This window comes from Homo sapiens, chromosome 16 (assembly GCF_000001405.40).
Source record: "Homo sapiens chromosome 16, GRCh38.p14 Primary Assembly".
Classification (NCBI taxonomy): domain Eukaryota; kingdom Metazoa; phylum Chordata; class Mammalia; order Primates; family Hominidae; genus Homo; species Homo sapiens.
Genome location: NC_000016.10, coordinates 78,973,880 through 78,997,848, shown reverse-complemented (window position 1 = coordinate 78,997,848; position 23,969 = coordinate 78,973,880). Strand labels below are relative to the sequence as shown.

At 45.0% G+C, this 23,969-nt stretch overlaps 1 protein-coding gene across 2 annotated transcripts in view, besides 2 other annotated features; it reads right to left on the bottom strand.

The window, feature by feature from the left end:
• WWOX (WW domain containing oxidoreductase) overlaps positions 1 to 23,969 on the bottom strand; it is a 1,113,014-nt gene that overhangs the window by 214,819 nt on the left and 874,226 nt on the right. The window lies entirely within an intron of this gene.
• Positions 12,643 to 12,937: a silencer, noted in NCBI's record as "tiled region #10194; K562 Repressive non-DNase unmatched - State 21:Repr". NCBI's record gives its function as "represses a minimal TATA promoter and a strong SV40 promoter by Sharpr-MPRA in K562 cells {active_cell/tissue: K562}" and the evidence as "EXISTENCE:reporter gene assay evidence [ECO:0000049][PMID:27701403]".
• Positions 20,760 to 21,959: an enhancer, noted in NCBI's record as "BRD4-independent group 4 enhancer chr16:79009787-79010986 (GRCh37/hg19 assembly coordinates)". NCBI's record gives its function as "activates an origin of replication core promoter dependent on BRD2, P300/CBP, MED14 and CDK7 cofactors, and independent of BRD4, by STARR-seq in HCT116 cells {active_cell/tissue: HCT116}" and the evidence as "EXISTENCE:reporter gene assay evidence [ECO:0000049][PMID:35650434]".

The window sequence follows — 23,969 nt, the reverse complement described above, 5'->3', positions numbered from 1 at the left end:
CATTCAGAAATTCCCGGGAAGGCAGCGTGAAATCTGCAGAGAAAATCTATTCCGGTCCCCATCCCATACTTGGTTGACCTTACAATTGCTATCCTCTCTAAAGCCAGCTTGAATATTTCCTTCTAGGGGAATAATACAAAGAAAGAGGGGTAGGAGGGAAAGGAAGGGAGGGGAGGAGAGGGGAGAGACAGGGAGGGAGGAAATAAATACTAGTGCAAATTCACCATACATTAGGTTTCTTGGCATGATCAGTGACACGAGCGTCAATTTTATAGGTACTGTTGTATATACATGCTATTGTTTAGGTGAAAGCCAGAAAGAGCAAAGGGCAATGAAAGTGTAAAAATAAAATAAAAATCTGGAGTAGAAAGCCCAGAGAAAAGGGAGGTCAGGCCCATACAGATATACAGAAATAACAACAAACCTATTTTTTAAAAAATTCTTTTGCGTGTCACCGTGGTAAGAATAGAAACAGACCCAAGCCACGAATCTTCTAGATTTTCCATGCAGTTAAGAGGTACGTTATTTCCAAAGCTGATATAGGTATGGTTTTAAGGAAAGGACCTTATATTATAACATGTCTTGCTGGGACTGCTTATTTTGGCATCACTTAAAATTTTATTTCAGTTTGCTTTGAGGACTCTTGGAGTTAAGCATCCTCTCCTCCTCCTCTTCCCCCGGAAAATAGCACCCCCCTCACCAGGCACACACACGAACCACTCGAACATATGTCTACATTGAAGAGCAGAAGATTGGAAAAGCAGATGGTATGATGCCTTTGGAATCTGACAGCCGCTCTGTGGCAGCACTATCAACTATCAGCAGACAGGACTTGCCAGAGACGCACATTTGAGCGAGGGACTGCCAAGGCGAAAAGATCCGCACCTCGCCCTCCCAGGCGCGGGAGAGGATGCTTGTGTTTGAAAACAAGCAAAATGCTCTTCTCCGGAGCAGGGACTGTGGACGCAGCTCTGCAGCATTTATGGCACATGTGTCGGAGGCCGGGGAGATGTTCTGCAAGCGATGGCTCTATAAACAGTGCCTACTTTGGGTGTTTTCCATACGAGGCAGGTGGGAAGCGGGAAGGGAACAGTTGGGAGAATTGCAGAGCAACCTGTTTTCATGGGCTGTTTACTTTCTGTCACTGTACCTGGCCATATTTGCCATATTGTCCCCACATTTTGGGGGGATGTAGAGCACACTAGAGTCTCCCTGAATGGACATAATCTTAATTCTCATCTAAATACTGTTGTAAACTGACCACCATCTCTCACTGTAATTTTCTCTTCTCTCCCACATTAGTTAGGAGGAATGGAAAGGTGTGGAGAGAGAGGGAAAGGGAGAGAATGAAGCTGATCATTATGAATGCATACCCATGGGTCCGGCCCAGTGCTGAGCACTTTGAATATGCCTCCATTCTTTGCAAACTTTGAGCAAATCATTTTACAGGTGGGGAAGCTGGGGGGCGGGGGTGGGTGCAGAATTCACTCACACTCTTTCTATTTCATCCTTTCTATCTTCTGTCACGGTAGAAAAACATCCACAAGGCAAGATCCATCTTCCAGGGAGCACCCAGCTGAAAAGGGGTCTGGCTCAGCTCTGCCCTTTTCAAGGTTACTTCTTCTATCCACAAGTCTTCAAAAATTTCTAAATGGAGATTTTATTTAAAGAAGATGTGAGTTTCGTTAAAAAAAAAATTAAAAAAAAGAACATTCTACGCCTGAGCTGACTTTCATGGAAGGGGCCACGTTCTGATTTCATTTTGCCAAAATAACTTTTTGGATCTGGATTTGGAATCACCAGTTTCCCTCTTCTTTCAGTGAAATGAAAATGTATTTCATTCAAAGCCACCCTTTAACTCCAAGCTGGCCTCTACTTCCCTGCAACTTACAGCAATCTCATTAATAAATTAATCGAACTGTCACAGAGGTATAAACGCAAAATCGTTTGGAAATGATCCCATTTAAGATCACACAATCTCCAAAACCTACTGCAACATTTTACACTTCCTTCAGGCCACCTCGGGTCTCCTTTACACTTGCAATGATGCCCCTTTCAATTTGCATATAAAAGACAGTAAATTGCAGGGTTCATAAACATTTTTATAGTGATTTATTGAAGACTAGAATGTCACTGCTGTTCTTCACACTTTACCAGTCCTGAGAATCAAATGCTGGCTATATATGTAATCTTGCTGTCCCCATCAACCACATAAGAACAAGCCAGTTTGCGGTTTTGCAGTTTTTTCTCTTTCTCTCTTTCTTTTTCTTTTTCTTTTTTTTTTATAAAGACAGTGGCAACCATATTTATCTTCAGTTAGAAGAATGCTCTCCAAGTTCCAGCTTGGGTTCCATAATTTACAAAGAACTTGGTTTTACCAATCGGCACTGTGAAGAAACCATTCTTTCTTACGGCTGAGGACAGAAAAAGGAAGGCTTTCTTTTCATCTTCCCATTCCATGTCCTACCCCAAAGAACGCAGTCCACAGGCACACTTCTCAGGGATGACCTGTAGGCAGGAGAGGGGAGGGAATTGGGCAAGGGGCAGACTGGCCGCGATGCATCCAGATGCCTCTGTTCACCTTTCCTGCTAAAAGCTTCAGTGCAAGGATTGGGCATGGGCTTTGGAATCACGTATTTGGAAAGAATGCAAGCAGAGAGAAGCTGAGCTTGGAAGATACTTTTGCTACTTCCCAGCCAGCTAAGTCACAAAAAGGAGTGATCAGAGCCAAGACAAACTGTTATTATCTAAGGGCACAGTGAACTCCTCGGCATCCTCCAGACTTTTTACCAGGGGGACTGGGAATCCTTTCTCAGCGCATTGTGCATAATGGGAAAGGAGAGAGGCTGGGAGGAAAAACAAAAAAAAAAAAAAAAAAAGAAGAAGAAGAAGAAGAAAAGAAAGAAAAAAAAAAGGCTTGCACCTCATTTGCCCTTCCAGTGTCCAGAAGGGAGTATTTCTTTCCACCTTTTTCACATTATAATAATGGCTTCACAGCTCCTGAAAAGAGCCCTAGTGCAACGGCAAATGGTGCATGACACGGCGAAACCCTGCTCTTTGTCGTACCAGCTCCGCTCCAAAGAAAGTCCTTCTCTGCCTTCGTTTCCCTGCCATTAACTGAGATGAAATGAGTTTTTTCCCCCTTTTGATTCCACCCCCCACTGTCTATTACAGTGTGACGCGATTGGGCTTCCTGGCCCATTATTTCATAGAGAATTCTTTTATTCTGGTTTGGGAGTTTGCGCCTGCAAGGTTATCTGTGCACAAAGCAACGCCTCGGTCTTCACATTCATTTCTGAAATCTGATCTCATTGATAAGAACAAGACCATTCGCATTGCATTTGTCAGATAAGTACCTCGGTGCCGGAGTCATAATTTTTGTGACTTCAGTCAGGGCTCCCTGTTAAAATACGTGAACCGATAAAAATGCAAGTATTATAAAAATAACCTTTGTATCAAAAGTGTCGTCCTATCTCCTTCTTCTTTCTTTAAAGCACATTACGTCCTTTTTCACATGAGGCACTTCCTCATATTCAGACGTCTATGTCCTGATGTTCATTTCTTAAAAATTATTCTTTAAATGGTACTCCAATGCCACCCTTCAGCACGCTAGGGGAAAAAAAACACACACAGAGAACACAAAACAAGAAGGCCTATAAGGAGAGAATCGATGTGATGCAGTTTGTCTGAAGGGGGTTTTGATTAATTTCCCTCGGATGGTTTATCCAATGTTGACAGGTAACGTTTCTTGATCATAATAAGCAAATGAATCAAATGCAAACATCCTCAGTGGCTAAGCAGAGTCAAAGAACATTTAGGACAGGGGTCCAGGGTACCCTCGTCGTAGCTCCAGGGTTCTCTAGGACAGGGCTGAGCTGTTGGCTTGCCCAGGGAACAATGCCACACTGTTCCCACGGGGGAAGCGGTCACATACACTGGAAATAATGCCTGCACCCAACGGACACGAAAGGAACAGGAGTGACCGACCAGCGGGCTCCGCCGTGGAGAACAGGCGTCTTGGCTTCTTGCAGGTTCCGATGCCATCCAAGCTGCACCACGAAAAGCCACCCCCGGACTCAGGCCATGGAGTCTGGCGAGTGTGTTATATAAATATTAGCACCAGGCAGATTGCTGGAGCCCCTGTGTGTTTCCTGTCCCCCCGTGGCAGCCACATAAAGCCGCCGGTGACAAAACTAAGAGACAGCCATGGGCTCACTCTGGAGCAGCATGCCAAGCCGCACAGCGCAAGGTCCTGTCCCCATCCCTGTTCCGGGCTCCGTACACCCAGGCCCGCAGCTGATAACACTGTAATAGTCCTCCTTTGAGGACTGAGGCTCCTGCGTGCTGATTAGTCATTTATCACACCTGGCAGCCCTGCTTAACTATAATTACTCTTCTCTTATCCAGCCGCACTGTCATGTCCGAGAGGAGAGGCGAGGCAGAGTCCCCAGTTAATGACACATTACCCTCTTGACAAGCACTTAAAGGTTTTATTGTAAATATTCAAGATATAAAACATCTGAGATTCCCTTTTTAATTATAAAAAGCAATTTCAGGGCCTCCCTTCCCCAACCTCCCCCCACCCCCAAATAGTAAAGTTTCGGCGCCGTTATCCTCGGCTTACTGCAAACAAACTGATTTCCCTTTGTCACAGAAACTCATTGCTACAAGTTAACTCAGTATCTCTCTGCAATTATCAGACATATTGCCTATGAAATTGGTAATTTAAACACACATCACATTTCCACAAAAGTTAAATTTCCTCCCCGAAAGAAGGGGAAAATGTGCATTTATATGAAAAATTATATATGAAAAAAAGCCTAAAATGCAGCATAAATAGTCCAGTTTTCCTCATTGGAAAGAGAGGGAGGAAGTCACTGAATAATTTTTTTTTTAAAGATGAGACTCTAATGGAGGCAAAAATTATACGTAGATATATTTTTTCATAAACTAAAAAATTGGAAATTTGCGGGTCGTTAAATCCTGACTGCCTACTTAGAAGGTTTGGGGAGAAAGCCAACTTAGCATTCAGTGACTTTTGAGGCTATTTATGTCCCTCAAGGAGGGCTCAGAGGACACTTTCCTCCGGGAGTCAGGGACCCTGGCAGGCGATTTCCTCTTGCTACCTTCCAGCTAATGCATATGAAGTGATCTTTCTTGTTGGTTAGGCTTGAGGCTTCTGTGGGCCAACTTCCACAACAGACATTAAGATGGGATCATGGGAAGGGATGGGGAGCTGGTACGAATCAAACCTTTCATTCTGAGAGAGAAAAATAAAAACCTACGCAGACGCTCACATCCATACAACACTTGCATACTGGTACATACAACGTAAAATGAGCTCACTGGAGCCAAATTGTTTTTGTTTTGTTTTGTTTTTTTGAGATAGAGTGTCACTCTTTTGCCCAGGCTGGAGTGCAGAGGCGCAATCTGGGTTCACTGCAACCTCTGCCTCCCGGATTCAAGCAATTCTCCTGCCTCAGCCTCCAGAGTAGCTGGGATTGCAGGCACCCACCACCACACCTGGCTAATTTTTTTTTGTATTTTTAGTAGAGACCGGGATTCGCAGAACACTGTACAGGCAGATAAGGGAGTTGGTCTTACAGAAGGGGTGACCAAAGGTCCACAAAGCCTAGAAGAATAGTGACATCGTTGGAGCTCACGGCCCAATGTCCCAAGCAGGCTTCTTTACCTGTGAATGCCTCAAGGACAGGATTACCTTTCACTCATTGCTACATCTTTAGTAACTAGCACATCACAGGTGTGTAGATTCCAAGAATGAACGAATTAATGCATGCATGTGAAAGGAGAGCCTGAAAGTGGGGAGAGGGAGAAGATCCTTCAGGTGAGTTTCCCAACCCCCTGAGTTTCATTTCGCCCCTGCATCCACTAATGAATATGTGTTGAGAATTATTTTGTGGCTGGTATTGTGTTAGGCGGGAACAAAGGAACATTTATGGAGGTGATCGCAAGACCACAGGGCCCCACATGGACAGGAGTCTGAAGCAGTGATGATGGTAATGAACACCGAGATGAAAACTACCAAGATCTCCTGAAAGCTTATGGGAACACGGAAATGTGTTAAGCCCCTCACCTTCCTGTTTCATCTTAACATCACCACGAGGAGGGGTTAACCTTATGGCTTGCGTTGTATAGGAAAGGAAACTGAGGTTCTGAGGGAGTGAAAACAAGTTACCCAAGGGGCCCCACCACTGGTAGGTGGAGAATCTGGCTTTTTTTTTTTTTTTGAGACAAGGTCTTGCTGTGTCTCCCAGTCTGGAGTGCAGTGGTGCAATCATGGCTCACTATAGCCTCAAATTCCCAGGCTCAAGCCATCTTCCCATCTCAGCCTCCTGAGTAGCTGGGACTACAGGTGTGCACCACCACACCCAGCTAATTTTTAATTTTTTTATTATTTATAGAGATGAAGTCTCCTTGTGTTGACCAGGCTGGCCTCAAACTCCTGGGCTCAAGTGATCCTCCCATCTCAGCCTCCCAAAATGCTGGAATTACAGGCGTGAGCCACTGTGCCTGGCTGGGACCTGGATTTAACATGGACTCCAAATTCCAAGCTTGCTGTCTCATTGCCAAAAGTGGGAGGGTGGTAATTTCATCCAAGAAATAGTTCAGGGTGACTCCTAAGCACAGTGGTGAGAATTTCTCCAAATTTCTTCTTTGACTTTGACAAGGGCTGAATGTGCCATCAATGACTTAGTAAGGTACTTTCCTTCACTTTTCCTTCTCCACAACTCTTCTTTGGGAAGCTGAAGGCTGCCATGCTTTGACTTGTCCCCAGAGTGTCCTGCTCTGTTCAAAGGCACTTTATAAATCTAACAAAATGACCAAGATCCAAACAGGCTGTCCTTGCCAGGGTTTTGGTCTGAAGACAAGCTCCCCTGGAGGTCGGTTCTTCTTTCTCAGCATGACACCTCTCTCTTAAGGGAAAAATCACTCATGCTGTGTTCATCACCTGTTTTGTCTCCTTTTAAAAAATGCCAAGTGAACACAGAGACAAATTCAGTCCAGAAAGACTGAGGCAAAGCTTGATTAAGACAGCAGAGGGATCCTGGCAGGTCTGACTGTGCCCTCTTGCCAGACTTCCTTCCTTCCCTGTCTCCCTCCCTCCCTCCTTCCTCCTTCCTTCTTCCTTCTTTCCTCTATGTGCTTCTCCCTCTCTCTTTTTCCTTCCTCCTTTTTCTTCTTTCATTTTACTTTATCACATTCTGGCCTGTTCGCTCTACCATCTTACAACTTGGGTGGTGATGGAATTACCCTGGGGCTTTGGGGGCTCCCCGGTGTAAACAAAGAGCTGTTGTCAGTGTGATGTGCATTTTGGCATTGATAGAATGCAGGCCACAGAGTTTGCAGTAACACAGCTGTTGACCTTTAGTAGCTCCGGACTCTGGAAATCCACTGAAGCTAGACAGCCATTCCCTAGCCCAGAACTAGGTCGTGCAGAGAACAGTTGAGGCTCCTCAGGCTGCGGACAGGGCCCTTCTCAAGGCACAAGGAGGATCTTGCAGAGCCCATGACTTAGAACCAATGCACAGTCAGGCTTCATGGAAAACAGGCAGCAATTACAAAGCATGGGGGGAATGGAGGCCCTTAATCTGAGATGCTGATCAGTTGAGCTCAACCTCTCTCTCTTTTTTTTTTTTTTTTGGTGAGACAAGGTCTCCCTCTGTCACCCAGGCTGGTGTGCAGTGGCAAGGTCATGGCTCACTGCAGCCTAGACTTCCTGGGCTCTAAAGATCCTCCCACTTCAGCCTCCCGAGTAGCTGAGACTACAAGCGTCTGTCACCAAGCCCAGCTAATTTTTGTATTTTTTGTAGAGATGAGGGCTTTGCCGTGTTGCCCAGGCTAGCCTCGAACTCGTGAGTTCAAGCAATTTGCTCGCCCCGGCCTCCCAAAGTGCTAGAATTACAGACATGAGCCACTGTACCTGGAATCCCCCGCCTCTCTTTCCCTCCATCTGTCTCTCTCTCTCTCAATCACACACACACACACACACACACACACACACACACGCTCACACACCACCTCTGTCTCACTTTGCTTCCTCTCACTTCCTCCTGGGCCAGCCCCATTACTCTCAGCATCTCACCGCCCTCTTTGCACACCTGCTCCATTCTCTCTCCTGCTCTGCTTCTGGCTTACTCATGCTCTCTGCTCCCTAACACCCTTCTTGCAAAGGGTCCCAACTGGATGCCCAATTCCTGAATCCACAAGACTGCTCAGTCTCAGTATTTATCCCCAAACACAAGTCTTTTTCTGTGTCTTTCAGTTCACATTTTTGAGAGCTGAACCACACAGGAGTCCACTGCTGGCCCCACTACCTTTGACTGGTGGTGGAGCCATGGGCGCTATGGACAGGGATCCCCAGCCTGCAAGCCAGCATGGGCAGGATGCCTGGATGCAATATTTGTGGTGCTGTTAAGATTCTGCAGGGTGGTTTGACTGCATCAGGGCCATTCTATCTTGGGGATCCAAGGAAGCAAAGATGAGTTCATCAGACATATATATAAGCTAATGTATTTAGCTCTTGATATTGAACTAATCAAACTAAAAAGAAGGCCTTCTAATTGAATTAGAATTCTTAGAACCACCCGAAGAGGAAAGATGGTTAGTGGATGGGGGCATCCAAGATGGAACACTATTCCCAATTACTCACTAACCCTGGGGAGATACAATAAGGGTTCAGCATCTTCAGAACTCTAAATATGCTGATAATTTTAGTAATTAAGGACTCCAAAAAGGGATCATTGTTAGTCCCAAAGCTCTACAAGTTAAATGGCTTACTCTGAATCATCGAACTCAGGATGATTACTTCCTCCTTGTTTTAACAGAGAACTCAGGTTGTACAGGAACTCAGGAATTCTCCTGCCTAGTTCCTGAAGCAAAATGAAACCTTCCAACAAAGCTGAAAAGAAGCACGTGTATCTGCTTTGCCTGACTGCCCACCAGAGCTCGTTTCTCCACTGATCGATTGGGGCTCGCAGCAACATGCTGGCCCCAGGGATGCACACAAGCCACGGCTGAGAAAGGACAGGCTGGGAGTGGGGCACAGACTACAGCCACCGGTCTTTCTCTCTGGGAAGAAACTAACTTGACAGCTATGCAGGAATCTCCCATTTCCCTACCCAAATGCACTTTCCATCCTTCTGTACTGGTCTTCGTGCCTGAAAAAGTTGACCAATATGAACACATCAGTAACTTCCTTTTGCCATCTGGTTTCTAGCAGGGCTTGAACAATGGCAAAGAGTTGAAGGGGCGGGGATGTTTATTCCGCTGGGACCTCTCCTGGGGAGAGGGAGTATTACCAGTGGTAGGCTGAATTCCTCAACCAAAGGTTACAGCTCCTTCCAAGGAGTCTTCTCCATCCTGGCACCTTCAACTGTCTCCAGTATCTGCTCCCTCTCCTTGGCCAAGGATGGTGACAGCCACCCCTATTACTACCTCTGAGAAATTAATTTTCTTTCTTTTTTTTTTTTTTTTATTTTTTTTGAGACAGAGTTTTGCTCTTGTTGCCTGGGCTGGAGTGCAATAGCGTGATCTTGGCTCACTGCAACCTCTGCCTCCCGGGTTCAAGTGATTCTCCAGCCTCAGCCTCCCGAGGAGCTGAGATTACAGATGCCTGTCACCATGCCCAGCTAAGTTTTTGTATTTTTAGTAGAGACGGGGTTTCACCATGTTGGCCAGACTGGTCTCAAACTCCTGACCTCAGGTGATCCACCAGCCTCGGCCTCCCAAACTGCTGGTATTACAGGCGTGACCCACAGCACCAGACCAGAAATTCGCTCTCTTTTATGTTTCCCTACACCTTGACCACCCCCCCTTTATAAAATAGCCCCTTTGTTATTAAAATTTCTTGAAATTACTCAATTTGGGTTTGTTACCTCTTTCCCACTGGGACTACCATGGATACAGAAGGGACATGACGAGACCTGTGGTTTCACCGGAATCATGTTGTAAGCAGCAAAGCCCACAGGGCTGATTCACTGTTTAAACAGCAAGGTGGGAAAGTCCTGCTGGAAATTTTTGGAGAGCACATTTTTTAAAAGTTGACAAGTTCATCAGCCCAAGAAGAAAAGGACACAGAGAGTTTGGGCCGACATATCGCAACTCTCATTAGCGCGAAATGAATTCACGTTACTCTGCCTCTGAACATGGAGGGCCCTGTACAGAAACAAAGACATATGCACCATCATGCAAAAAAGCCACTTGAAACATGAGGGAGCATAGAGGAAAGTCCTTGAAGAGGTCTTTTCCAATTTTTCTCAACCCACATATTTTATAGGAAAGCTTTAAACTCTCACTAAAACAATGGATTAAAAAATGAGAAACCCTCCTTCCAGTTTCACAATCCATTTGTCTCATCCTCTCGAGAGTTGCTAGAAAAAAGAAAAAAGGACAAAATACGTGGCAGGAGCTCCAGCATGAACAAACTTGAAAAATCCTGCCTTTGCTAGGAAAATATTCTTAAATTTTCAAACACATTCCAACCTACCCGATACAAGGTACAAAAAGATCATTGTCAAAACAAAGCAAAACCACTCACATGCCAAAGATCATGGAACCTAAAGCAATCAATAAAGCCAGGACTGAGTTAATAAGCACAGCCTACTTATAAACTGACTCGTCTTTTGGTTTGTGATGCAGGGAGACATTAAATTTCAAAGACCTCCCGTGTGCTTCTGAAAATTACAAATGAGAAATATTGGAGTCCTATACTGCTATCAAAGTGGCAAGTTAGTTCTCCTTAAAAGCTGTACTTAAATAACCATGGCGCTGTGTCCTTTAAGAAAGCCCTAGGATCATTTCCCCAGCCAGCCTCCTCTGATCCCTCTCTGCTCCGTGTGGGTAAGTGCACTGTACCTCCTGACCATGCTCTTGGTGGGACTTTTTGTAGCATGACCTTGAAATACTTTGTTTTACTGAGTCCTTGCAGTCAAAAGGAGTCTCTTGCGCATCCTGAAACTCCCAAGTCAAGCATAATGTGTATTATCAAAAAGATGCCCAAAAATCTCTGTGGAATTAATCTTTGAAAGCTAACAACATCAAAATAATAGTACTTTAAAATCTCTTCTGAAGCTATCAAGAAATGGCAAAGATGTTTCAACATGTGCATCAACCCTGGTCAATTGGTAACAGCCTCCCAGAACACTCTATTAAAGAGAATTCAAGAGTCAGATCCATTCTTGGGAGAAAAACAGAGTACTGATGAATGAGTGATGTCCGCCAGTGACCTGGAATTAAGGAATGATGTCAAGTAGCCTATCGGTTTGTCATTCTTGTTCTTATTTATCCTCACTCTCTGCACAGGTTACTTACATGAAATCCTAAAAAGAAAATCCACTAAAATCCAAAGAGTGGTACAATCAGCACAGCCCCAACCTACTTAGAATACTGTGGGCCTGGAGTCTAAAAATGGAAACCAGTTCATGTCCAAACCAATTGTTCTTCGTGGAGCACAGGGAGGATATTAGGAATATGCCTTCATAAAGCTCTGAGTCAGACTGGTATCCTCTAGGTGACTTTCAAAACTATAGGTCTGGAAGCACCTCTACCTATGGCATCTTTGTAAAACTGATTAACTATTTTCAATAAGTTTTTCTATCATCCCCAGTGGAAAATTGCAAGCGCGCTGCATATGTAAAAATATAAATGTGTGACTCATCTCGCCTAGGGAAATGCTGACAGAACCAGGAATGTATGTGTGCTCCTGACTCCATAAATGTCTCCCGGAGCCCCGGTTCATCTTGACATTCCCACACGCTCCCATGCCATCGTGGACAAGCTTGCATTGCATAAAATTCTGACCCTGGGATGCCCCTCCTCAAGGAAAATTGGAGGTCAGCACAGTGCATTGTTGGCTCTGAGCCATGAACTTTTGACACAGCATCTGCATTTCTCGGCCAGTCAAGGTGTTTGTATGAGAGGGATCCTGGCTGACGGGACTGCAGAAGGCAGCCATTTGGAATGCAGGCATGAGCTGCAACTTCTACACTCCTTCCGGAGTGGTCAGCATTGCAATGTGAGGATCCAGGTAAATTGTCTGTGCCTATTCTTTTTTTCTTTTTCAGATGGAGTCTCACTCTTTTGCCCAGGCTGGAGTGCAGTGGCACGACCTTGGCTCACTGCAACCTCCATCTCTTGGATTCAAGCAATTCTCCTGCCTCAGCCTCCTGAGTAGCTGGGACTACAGGCATGCACCACTATGCACAGCTAATTTTTGTATTTTTAGTAGAGACTGGGTTTCACCATGTTTGTCAGGCTGGTCTGAAACTCCTGACTTCAAGTGATCCTCCCACCTTGGCCTCCCAACGTTCTGGGATTACAGCGTGAGCCACCGCGCCTGGCCCCTATTCTGAATGTAGTGCAGGCGACTTCCACTAGTGACAGGGAGAGATCTGTACTAGCCAGAGATGTGAAGTGATTCATGGCACGGGGACCCTGACACTGCTATTAGCCCTGTGGTGTTGACAAGGCACATTGGAGACAACACAACACCCTGCGTGCCGGTGGCACAGATTTACGGGCTGAACTGCTTCCTCTATTCTGACATAATGCACTGTGACAGAGTGACAGAAGACAGCGTTTGTGCCTGTAAAACCCTCATGATCAACAGGAAATGGAGCTCTCTCCAGAGTTAAGTCCTGGAAGAAATCGCATGCCGATGTCATGGCAGCCTCTGCTGCTGGGGCTAAAGCCATCTGCAATTCAGATGGAATCTGATCCGTTCGGAAACAGTTACAAAGTCCAAAAACTGGGCGGCCAGAGCTTGGCTCCTGACAGAGCGGGGTGGAGGGGGCAAGGGACTCAGCAACACTTGGAGCTGGGCAAGGATCCAATATTTTTTTTTTCCTTTTGCCCAGTATCTGTCCATATCCTCTTAACATGGCAAATGAAATCAGACTTCAACACCAGAACCTTGATGAGCCGATTAACTGAAAAAAGAATCAGTTCTTCCCCTGCACGCTCCATGCACCCTTCTTCCTCGTCTTTCTCCTTTCTGTTACATCCCCTGCACACGTTCCTTACCTGAGCTGCCGGTATCGATCCACAGACACCACAGAGGAAATCACGAAAAGAGGACGAAGAAAGTCTGACCACTTCTAACTAAACGGTATTACAAAAGTATGAAGATTCACAGGATATTTTTGGTAGAAGGTTCCTAAGGGTCAGTTTGTATGTTGTTCCAATCAACCAGTTGAGACAGAAACATTGACTTACTTGAGTAGAAGTATGTCAGTATCTCTCCGAACAAAGTTGATGCCAGAACTCTCTGCTCATGTGAGTCATCCCACAGGGCTAATTCTGGCCTGCTGCCTGTTTTTGTAAATAAAGTTTTATTGGCACACGGCCACACCCATCCATTCACTTACTGTCTACAGCTGCTTTTGCACTACAACAGCAGAGTTGGGTAATTGAAACAGAGACTATATGACCCACAAAGTATAAAATATTAATTTTACGGGCCTCTATAGAAAACATTTGCTGATTCTTGACCTAGAGAGTGCTTTCTTGGAGGTGGGGGACTTGCAATTACCTGATAAAGCTCCTAAGAATTCCAAGCTCTGCCATATAGCAGTCTTGGCAAACATGTACAGGGGTATGTGCCACATGGTTATACCGGACTCAAAGCAAATAAAAGACAAAGAATAGCCCTCTGGCCGGGCGCGATGGCTCATGCCTGTAATGCCAGCACTTTGGGAGGCCAAGGCGGGCAGATCACGAGGTCAGGAGATCGAGACCATCCTGGCTAAGACAGTGAAACCCTGTCTCTACTAAAAATACAAAAAAAATAGCCGGGCATGGTGGCAGGCGCCTGTAGTCCCAGCTACTCGGGAGGCTGAGGCAGGAGAATAGCGTGAACCTGGGATGCAGAGCTTGCAGTCAGCTGAGACTGCGCCACTGCACTCCAGCCTGGGTAACAGAGCAAGACTCCATCTCACAAAAAAAAAAAAAAAAAAAAAAAGAATAGCTCTCATAACAGATGGACTGCTTCACCAGTCCTATCGTTCTGCATTAGTTAAGCTAACTCCACCTGCTGTAGGAGATATGTCTCAAAGTCACAGGGGTTTAACACAATAGAAGTTTATCTCTCACTCCTGAAATGCCTTATTGACCAGAAGGAGATGTGCTCCACGCAGTCATTCAGGGATCAAGACTAGTTTCATCCTGCAGCCGATTCCATTGGCTGGAAGTCACAAGGCCAAATCTAACACCAGGAGAGTCTAGAAAATATAATCTAGTGGTGTGGCAAGGAGAAAAGGGAGACAGGCTGAACATTTAGCCCCACAACTCATTCTGAGATCTTAACGTACCCCATTTCTTCTCCCCTTCCTCTCTTTTCATAGCATGATGGTCTTTCCTATTAGAAAAGGCACACATAACACCTGTTCAGTTTTATGGATAAATACATCATGTATCATCCTTCCCAGGAAAATATCCATCCTATCCAAGGAGAATGCAATGCTCAACTTAAGAAAGAACACCACGGAAGAAGCGTGAGACCAGATACGAGGAGGCCCTGGTTCCTGATTCTACTCTCCCGCCAGCTTCTTGGCCAGACACTTCCTTTCTTCAGCTTAGGTTTTCCCATTCATTTCAGGATAAACAATTTGAGTGTCCGTGGTCTATGTTTCAGCTCTTTCTGATTCTTTGATTCTATGAAGGAATTCCTAACGATGGAGTTTGATGCCTTGGTGGGAAAAAGATGTTTGGATGCTATTCTCAGTGTCAGTCTACAAAAGCAAAACACAAGCCCACTTCCACAAGAAACTCAGACTACAGGAGACCCACAATAAATACTTCACAAAAGAAACAAAGGAATATATTACACTGCAGCCAAAGGAAACCACAGCCCCAAAGACTGCTTCTCCCATTGCAAACAGTTTTATATGCAATCTGCTCAGGGTAATTTTATTATTTCAGGCACTGTTCACAACATCACCACACAGAAATCAAAATTTGATGAAATTAGTTTAGCCATCACAGGAAGGATAAAGAGGGGCTCAGAAGGGTATTCATTTGATAAATAAAATATATTTTAGAAGAGAATATTCTGGTAATCACTATTTATTAATGCAAACTTCTCGAGGGTTTGCAGGATTCAAATGCACATTTTCTCCTCACTAAATAAGCATACATGTTTGAGGAGCCCGGTCTAAAATATTAACAGTCCTCCTGCACCAGAAATATTAGTCCTTCCCTCCTTCTCTGCCTGCTCCTGTCAAGAAGCCATAGAGCATACAATAGCAGCGCCTAGCTAACCATGTAATTGATAACTCCCTACTCTACTCACTGTGGGAATCTGTCAGTTAAAGTCTAAAGATACATACACACCACTATGAAAATGAACTAACACAAGTCTGTCTGCAGACCAGGAAGGGCCTGAATGCAGTCGACATTTCACTATTTAATTGGTTGGGGCCAGCTTACCAGCACACACGTGTATTCTGGCAATGGCACGCTGTACTATGACTCTTTTTGACAGACTTATTTAGTGAAGAGGAGGTATTTTTTTCCCCAGATGATTGCTCAAAATCACGCTTTCAAAGTCAAAGTGATTCAAACTTGCCTGTCTGTATTTTGGAAACACACCAGTTGGAAGGAATGCAAATTCATGTTCCTATTTCTTAGGCGTGTGTGCACGAAAGAGGCTGTTTGGGGTCGTTTCTTTTTATTTTTTTTCTTCTTTTCCTCTGAGCAATGAAGGAGAAGGAATACAAACCCCACGGAGTTTAGCCCATCCCCAGTGAGGCTCAGATGGGCCAAATCCTACAGACAACACGTTTCACCCAGCATAGGTCCAGAGCCCTTAGAGACAGATGTTGAAACTGAGATTCTGCCAGTCAAAACACTGGAGCCTTCAATGTTCTGGGAGGGTCTCTCCAGCAGGACATACAGTTGTAGCATCCAAATCTTCAGGATGCTTGAAGGAGTCTTCTTGCTTTTCGGGGGGCACCTGGCAAAGTGGACACAGGAAGGACTTTGAAATTAGACCATCTTCAGTGTAACTCAGGGAAATGACCTCACTCTGTTGCTCCTCGTCCTTGGAAACGGAGCTGGTTGTATCTACCGTGCAGGGATGTAGAGGGCTTAAATTAAGATGCTCCAAGCTGGGCACAATGTCTCACACCTGTAATCCCAGCACTTTGTGAGGCCAAGGCCGGTGGATCACTCGAAGTCAGCAGTTCAAGACCAGCCTGGCCACCCCATCTCTAACAAAAATACAAAAATTAGCTGGGCATGGTGGCATGTGCCTTTACTCCCAGCTACTTGGGAGGCTGAGGCAGGAGAATCACCTGAACCCGGAAAGTGGAGGTTGCAGTGAGCCCAGATTGTGCCACTGCATGCCAGCCTGGATGACAGAGCAAGACTCCACCTAAAAAAAAAAAAAAATGATGCTTCATATAAACATCATCCTGGATGTGATACGTGCTGCATGGACAGCTGCCCACATTGTCCGTGTCCCTCCCTACTCTGCCCTAAAGAGATCTGCTGGCGTTTTCCCCCCCCACCCAGCATTTTTGGTTATTCCCGTAAAGATCATTAGATGGCTCAGGCATCAGCCAGCGCAGAGAAATCCTAATAAGAGGGCAGAGTTGGGAGATGTGGGCAAAGCCATTTCTGATGCTAACACAGCCAGGACATCATGGAGACCACATGCAGAGTTTAGGAAAGTGCTGCAGTACAACGGTCCTCCCAGCTAGGACACTGGTTCAACACCAAGGCATGGGACTCCACAGGAAGAACTCGAATGAGGCTCCCAGGGGTCTGCAAAGTATGACTGCATGACATACAAAAATGCCCCATGATGACGCAACACAGCGCTTCTTAGCACAGATTTCTACATAAGCCAAGAACTAAACTGTGGGGCCAACCCTGTGACTTTATATCACTCGATCTCAACATTTCTGAAGACAATAAAAACGGAGATACCATCACCTCTACATTTACCCACTGAGTCCAGTCCTACAGGATTACAGAACCATAATCCCTTCCAAGAGAGGACTTTCAAGATAACCCTATCTATTCCTCCTTTCCAGATGATGAAAATAAGCCCTGCAAAATACTTATTCAAAAAGTAAGAAAGGTAGTAGCTAAAGTCTCCTTGGGAGAATGGAGCTGATCCGGGTCCCCTTTCAAGGTCAAAGTTCTGATTGTGATTTGAAATGCCATGTGGGGTTCCTGCAACTATGGAATAATCAGTCATGGTATTATCATTCTTACCATCAGGATACCTACATAGGATCCTGAGAGATGGTAAAAGAAAACGCTTCGTAAAAGACAAAATAAATAAATAAACTATTAGTATTTTAATTGAGACTGGATTGCCAGGCAGTCAATTTAATTAACTGCGGCACAATTAATTGTGAAAATTGAGGTTTGACTGTGATGTTGTCAATTCAAGTGGTATCGTGTAGACTTGGTTACAGCCAAGAGAACTAAAACCATTCCAAGGACATTGTTGGAATAAAATTAGCAGTGCAAGTGTTTACTCAAAATAAAGACATGGAAATCCTGAAGGCAAAGAGCCATCTTTGGCAAACTACCTTAGTTTTTCCATCTGTCAAATGGAGCTCACACAGCCAACTTCACAGCAAAGATTTAAAAACTAGATGCTTATAAAGGTGAAGGATAGGTATGATTCAGCAAGGATTTGGGGTGGGAGTTGGAGGAAAAGGGGGCACACATTGACTGGTTGATTGATTTGAGATGGAGTCTCGCTCTGTTGCCAAGGCTGCAGTGCAGTGGTGCAATCTCAGCTTACTACAACCTTGGCCTTCTGAGTTCAAGTGATTCTCCTGCCTCAGCTTCCCAAGCAGCTGGAAGTACAGGTGCCCACCAACACACCCAGCTAATTTTTTGTATTTTTAGTAGAGATGGGGTTTCACCATGTTAGCCAGGATGGTCTCAATCTCCTGACCTTGTGATCCACCCACCTTGGCCTCCCAAAGTAATGGGATTATAGACGTGAGCCACTGCACCCAGCCACGTTGATTTATTCTATATCACTACCCACACTTACCAATCACACCCTTTGGATAAATGCAGTGCAGTTTTCCTGCTGCTTTCCAAGCTGAGAAGGAAAAACCTGGACCACTGGGGACCTTTATCTTCAGCATCTCATGCCTCAAGCATGGACGGCTACACAGGCTCTGAGAGATGGGTACTGATCATTGTCTTAGAGACATCTGAGTAACAAGATCCTTTCAAGAGCATCGGTAGAAACTCCCATTTGACTCTCCTCTCTGGGTGGAACCTCTGTAGAAACCGTCACAGGAGCCTTAGCCATCGCTAGCTGATTCCAGGGAGTGAGGGCCTTTCACCTGCCTCTAATTCAGTCCTGAGCAAAATCATGCAGTGGCCACCATATCTGAGCACCTCGATGGGGGAGCCTGTCACGTACGTATTCCGAGACAGACATAAACTTCTCTCTTCTTGTTGCTGCTGCTGATGTTAATAACAGAAGCAGTTTTCACTTGGAGCCAAACCAATGCCTAACTAATATGATAGAAAAAAAACTATAAAGGTTAGAAGGAGATGAACTAAAACACAGGCGTTATCTCTGGGAGGTGGGAATGGGGATGGCTTGTTTTACTTCTGTATGTTTTCCAAATGTTCTCTAATAATGTGAATTCTTTTTGTAACGGGGGAAGCCACATGCATGTAGCATAAAACAAGATAAGACCCAAGTGATATTCGAGAGGAAAATATATACTTCCTGTGTCTGTATAGGGAAAAAAAAAAAAAAAGACTGAAATTCTGAGCAGGGAGGACGAAGGAGACCTGGCCGTAAAGGAGAGCAGATGCTGATGAAGGTCGATGCTGGTCCTCATAGCCTAAAATGATTGCACCTGCTTCAAGGTGTAGGGGAGAGTAAAGTGGGGAGGGACATCAAAATGTACCTGAAGAAATAACAAGCGCTGGTGATAAGGTTTGGATCTGTGTCCCCGCCGAAATCTCATGTTGAATTGTAATCCCCAGTGTTGGAGGTGGGGCCTGGTGGGAGGTGACTGAGTCATGAGGATGAACCCTTCATAAATGATTTAGCAGTATCTCCTTGGTGTTGTCCCAGTGAGAGAGTTCTCATGCGATTCGGTGGTTGAAAAGTGTGTAGCGCCTCCCCAGTCGCTCTCTGTTGCTCCTGCTCTGGCGATGTAAGATGTGCCTGCTTCCCCTTTACCTTCTGCCATGATTATAAGTTTCCTGAGGCGCCCCCAGTAGCAGAAGCTTCTATGCTTCCTGTGCAGCCTGCAGAATCATGAGCCAATTAAACCTCTTTTCTTCAGCCATTACCCAGTCTCAGGCATTTCTTTATAGCAGTGCCAGAATAGACTGACAGAGTTGGTGACAGTGTGAGAAACTGGAACCCCTGCACTTCGCTGGTGGGAATGCAACATGGTGCAGCCACTGTGGAAAACGGTTTGATATTTCCCCAAAAAGTTAAAAAGAATTACTGCGTGACCCAGCACTTCCACTCCTAGGTATATACCCAACATAATTAAAAACAGGAACCCAAATACTCATATGCAATTATTCACAGCAGCATGGATTCACAAGAGCAAAAAGGTGGAAATAACCCAAATGCCCATGGATGGATGAATGGGTCAACCAACTGTGGTATCAATATACAGTGGAATACTATTCAGTGATAAAAGGGAATGAAGTACTGATACATGCCACAATGTGGGTCAACCTTGAACACATGATGCTATTGTATGATCCCACTTAAATAAAATATCCCAAATAAGCAAACCTACTGAGACAGAAGGTAGAATGGTAGGGAAGAGGAATGGGTAGTAGCTGCTTAATTGGTACAGACTTTTATTGTGGGGAGATACAAATATTTTGGAAATAGATGCGGTATTTACACACCATTGTGAATGTACTGCTATTGAACTGTCTACTTTGAAATGGTTAATCTTATATTATGTGAATTTCACCTCAATTTTTTAAAAGTAGGGGAAAACAAAAAGCGTCCTTGAAGTTTCCTTGCTTTTATGTGTGTCTGCTGCTTCCCAGATGGGAGCTTGGTGTGAGGCTGGGATGGGAGTGCATGTTTGGGATCCTAGGAAGGGGGTCCTTCAGGACGGTCACAGACTTGCAGGCACCCCCTGCACCCCCTGCCCCTGCTGATGATCCGAGCCCTCTGTCAGAACCTCCTTTCCTTTAAGCACTTCTTTCGAGGCTGAGCTTTCACTGTTTTCCTTCTTCTATCTCCTCTCCCCTTTCATTTTTGTAACAACAAAAATTTTATAGCCCCTCAAAGAAAAAGGAAATTAAGCGACTCCCCCAGACAAGGACACATGCAGAGAGGGCGTCTATGGTGGGATTCTAATAGGGAAAATAAAGTAAAGGACAGGCCTACTGAGCTCATCTCCTTATAGCTTCTGGTGTGTGCTTTGCTTGTGGGGCGAGGACAGAATAAAGAGTGCCACCCCACAAACTTCTATGGTCATAACGAATAAGGCAAATGAACAGGATCTGGAGGATCTCAGGCCTCTGGAGGATCCAAAAGGACTTCTGCTTCCCTGTGGGAGGCCATTTAAATTTAAGAGCTCGAACCTCTCTGACAAACACCATCAGGCCCAGCCTTTGAAGAGCTCTCAGGGCTCTCCTGTCTGAAGAAGTCTTGCCAAAATAAGTGGTTCAAAACAAACACTTGAGTGAATGATATATAGGGTACCAGAGATACCACATATGGGAGTAAAGAGGAAGATATTAGAGCTTGTAGGAAATTGCCTGGAGGCATCAAAAAGGTTCCTGTGTTGACGTGTGCGTGAGCCTCAGTTGAAACCTGATTGTCCCAGGCCAGGGGAAAGCTCTCTGATGAGCTTATACATGCTAGATTCAAAAACATAAAACGAACAAAAAAAGAGGTGTCAAATCTAAGCCAGTTACTTCCTTTCTGATGGCCCTGAGAAAAAGAAAAGGGCATGGGAGGTGGAGTGCGGCGTGCATACTTTGGATGCTATCAAACCTCTGCCCTCCATGTTTGCAACTGAACCAGGCATTAAAGACACTGACACTGTCAGCACTAAGATCTGCCTCATGGAAAAAGTATTTTAAACGGTAGTTGCAGTAAAAAGACCTAGAGTGGGGAAGATAGAAGTAGTATCTGGTGAGCTCCTGGTGGGTCTCAGGCATTTTCTCTTTGGATTATTTTATTTCAGCGTCACATTAATCCAAGAGATGGTCTTATCTTCGCGGGTGTGGATGTTCAGGCTTGGAAACGCAACGCCATGCTTTTCGCAGCTGCAAGATCCCAGGCTGAGACCTAGATCAAGCTATGATGGCAAAGTGCATGCAACTACATCACCCCTCACGTTCTTGCTTAAGCAGAAATTACTTGCTCAGTCAGCCTCCCAGGCTGCCACCATTGCGTGCCATGTGGCTGTTAGTCACAGGCCCACGCACATCACATGCTCCGAATCTGAGACTCTGACCACACAGCCCTGAGTGCTGGGAGTGAGCGAGGACCTGAGGTACCATGAGCAAAAGCAGCTTCATCGGTTCTCATTTCAAAACTACGTAAGAAATAAAGATCAGAAAGAAGTAGGAGTGTTTCACAAGATGCTGGTAAGATTAAAGTGTGCAGGGAGATTTGCAAGGAAAAAAACTTTCATTCATTCATTCATTTGTTCATTCTTTCATCCAAGAAATAATTATCCAGTGCCTACTCTGTGCCAGGAACGGTGCAGGATATTCGAGGATGGACAACAAAGACGTGAGCTTGAAATTGTCATTCGGATGGAATAACAATGCCCTAATGTTGCTGGAGCCCAGAGCGGGGCGCTGGCTAAACGCACCATTGAAAGGACATGGCATCTCCATAAAAAGACTTTGCAAAGGTTTCCAAGCACCGGCAACTAAAAGGCAGGAGGGTATCAGGGGATGGAGGGTGGCAGGGCAAAGGGTGGAAGAGGGGGTGACATGTGGCTGCTGAGAAAGCTGGAAGAGGTTTGGTCCTAATGGCAAGGGTCCTTACGGTTCTAGGAGCCAGAGGTCTTGCCTGTTTCCTCCCACCCTCCAAGGGCCTGGCAGAATTGTCTGAAAGGCTGAATTCCATCATGACCTCCGCTTGCCCAAAGGCCTCAATTGGCTCTGTGTTGCCTATGGACAAAACCCTTCTCTGAGCGGTGTATTCCCAACAGGGGTGACAATACATCCAGGGGTGTTAACATTGGTTTTGAGGGACGACAGTTGGGGAATAAACACTGTTCACCCTTTCATTTACGAGGCATATACCATGTGTATATGGTACATGAACAGGCATTCAGCACATCTGTGGTATTCAGATTTCATGGGCAAAGACCATTAGGAAAGTCGTATCTCAAAAGGCTCCTGGGGGAGGGGGCCATAATGAAAAAAAAAAAAAGGTTGGGGAACCCTCTAGGCCAAGGTTTCTTACCTCCAGTGTTATTTTCATCCAGGACCACGTAAGATTTTGTTGCAAGGGTCTGCCCTGTTCATGTAGGATGTTAACCACTATCCCCGGCCTCTACCCCCAGAAATCAGGAGCACACTATTACCTCATCCTAAGTTATGACAATCAAAAATGTCTCTAGACATTGCCACACCTTCCCTGGGTGCAAAAGTGGTCCCATCTGAGAACCCTTGAACCAGATGAGGCTAATTCGTATAGGTGTTCACTAAGTCATAACTAAGTAAAACATAACAATGTTGACTTTTTAAGGACTGGAGTATCTTTTATTGGTGGCAATCAATTCTGGTCCAGAGTTAAAATGCAGAGTAACAAGGCAAAAGCAGGGGCCCAGCCTTGACAATAGTGAAGGCCTTTTCACATCCAACAACGGTCTCACCAGGAGAGAAGAGGGGCTGGGGAGTCCCTTCCACAAGCCTAGAAATGTCCATCTCCCTTTGGGTCCGGAGAGGCCTCATTAAATTCCGAGGCTGCATCGGTGGACCCTGACTTGCAGCTGAGCATTTCAAGGTCTCCCCGGGCCTCCAGTGGACAGGAAGCTGGGGTAATAAATTGCCTCTGCTTCCCGGCTTAGGTTGTGGGTCTCAGAAGATTACGCCCTAAACATCCCATTCTGAAGGGTGGAGAGCTGGCGGACCCAACACCAGAGACCAAGTGTGGGTCTTGGGGTTTGGCAAAGTGGCAACTCTGTAAACACCATTAGGTAGCCACAGAATAATCTGTCCTCCTCTTCAGGACAGACAGTTGCATCGGGTGACATTTGCTACGTGTAATATTTAGGTTTGTGCTAAATAAAAAACAAAACTGAAATAATTCCCTGCACATTGCACAATATTTAAGGAAATAATACATGGTTTATTAAAGTTGATAACCTTAACAGAGACGGATTCATCACATCATAACTAGGCCAGGTTCTAGAAAACAGAATCCCATTTTGTTGTGGAACTTGAGGCTGAACAATTTACCAAGACTCTTTCCAAGGCTAGTGTATAGCAAGGCAGGTACTAGGGAAGAACCCACGTACTGTTCAATTAAGATGTTTATTGATGTGACACACAAAATTCCCCTGCTTTATTATCTGTACTGGAAGGCGGTTATTCATTTAACTGCTTTGCTTTGTGCTGTGCGGTCATTAGAGACAGTTTTTCTCTAACACAAATCCAAAAGAATCCGTTCTCTGAAGAGTACGCTTGCCTTCTTTTCCCTCCAAAAGTATTAACGAGATTGAATTTTCCTGATATTGTTTGATTTGTGAAATCACACTGCACTTTCAAGCGCAGAAATGAGGAGAGTCCTTTACACTTTTTGAATGCAAGATTTTTTCAGAAAGGTGAAACCATTTAGAAAAGAATTTTAAACATTCAACATAAATGTTGCATGAGTTTTGTGCTAGGGAAAAGAAAGCTGACTAGTAATAAAATCACCTTGAAATAATCGTAGGATAGGTAATGTTAAATTAAATAAACACGCCGAAGAAAAAACCAAAATTCTACACATGCAAATTTTTCCCTAG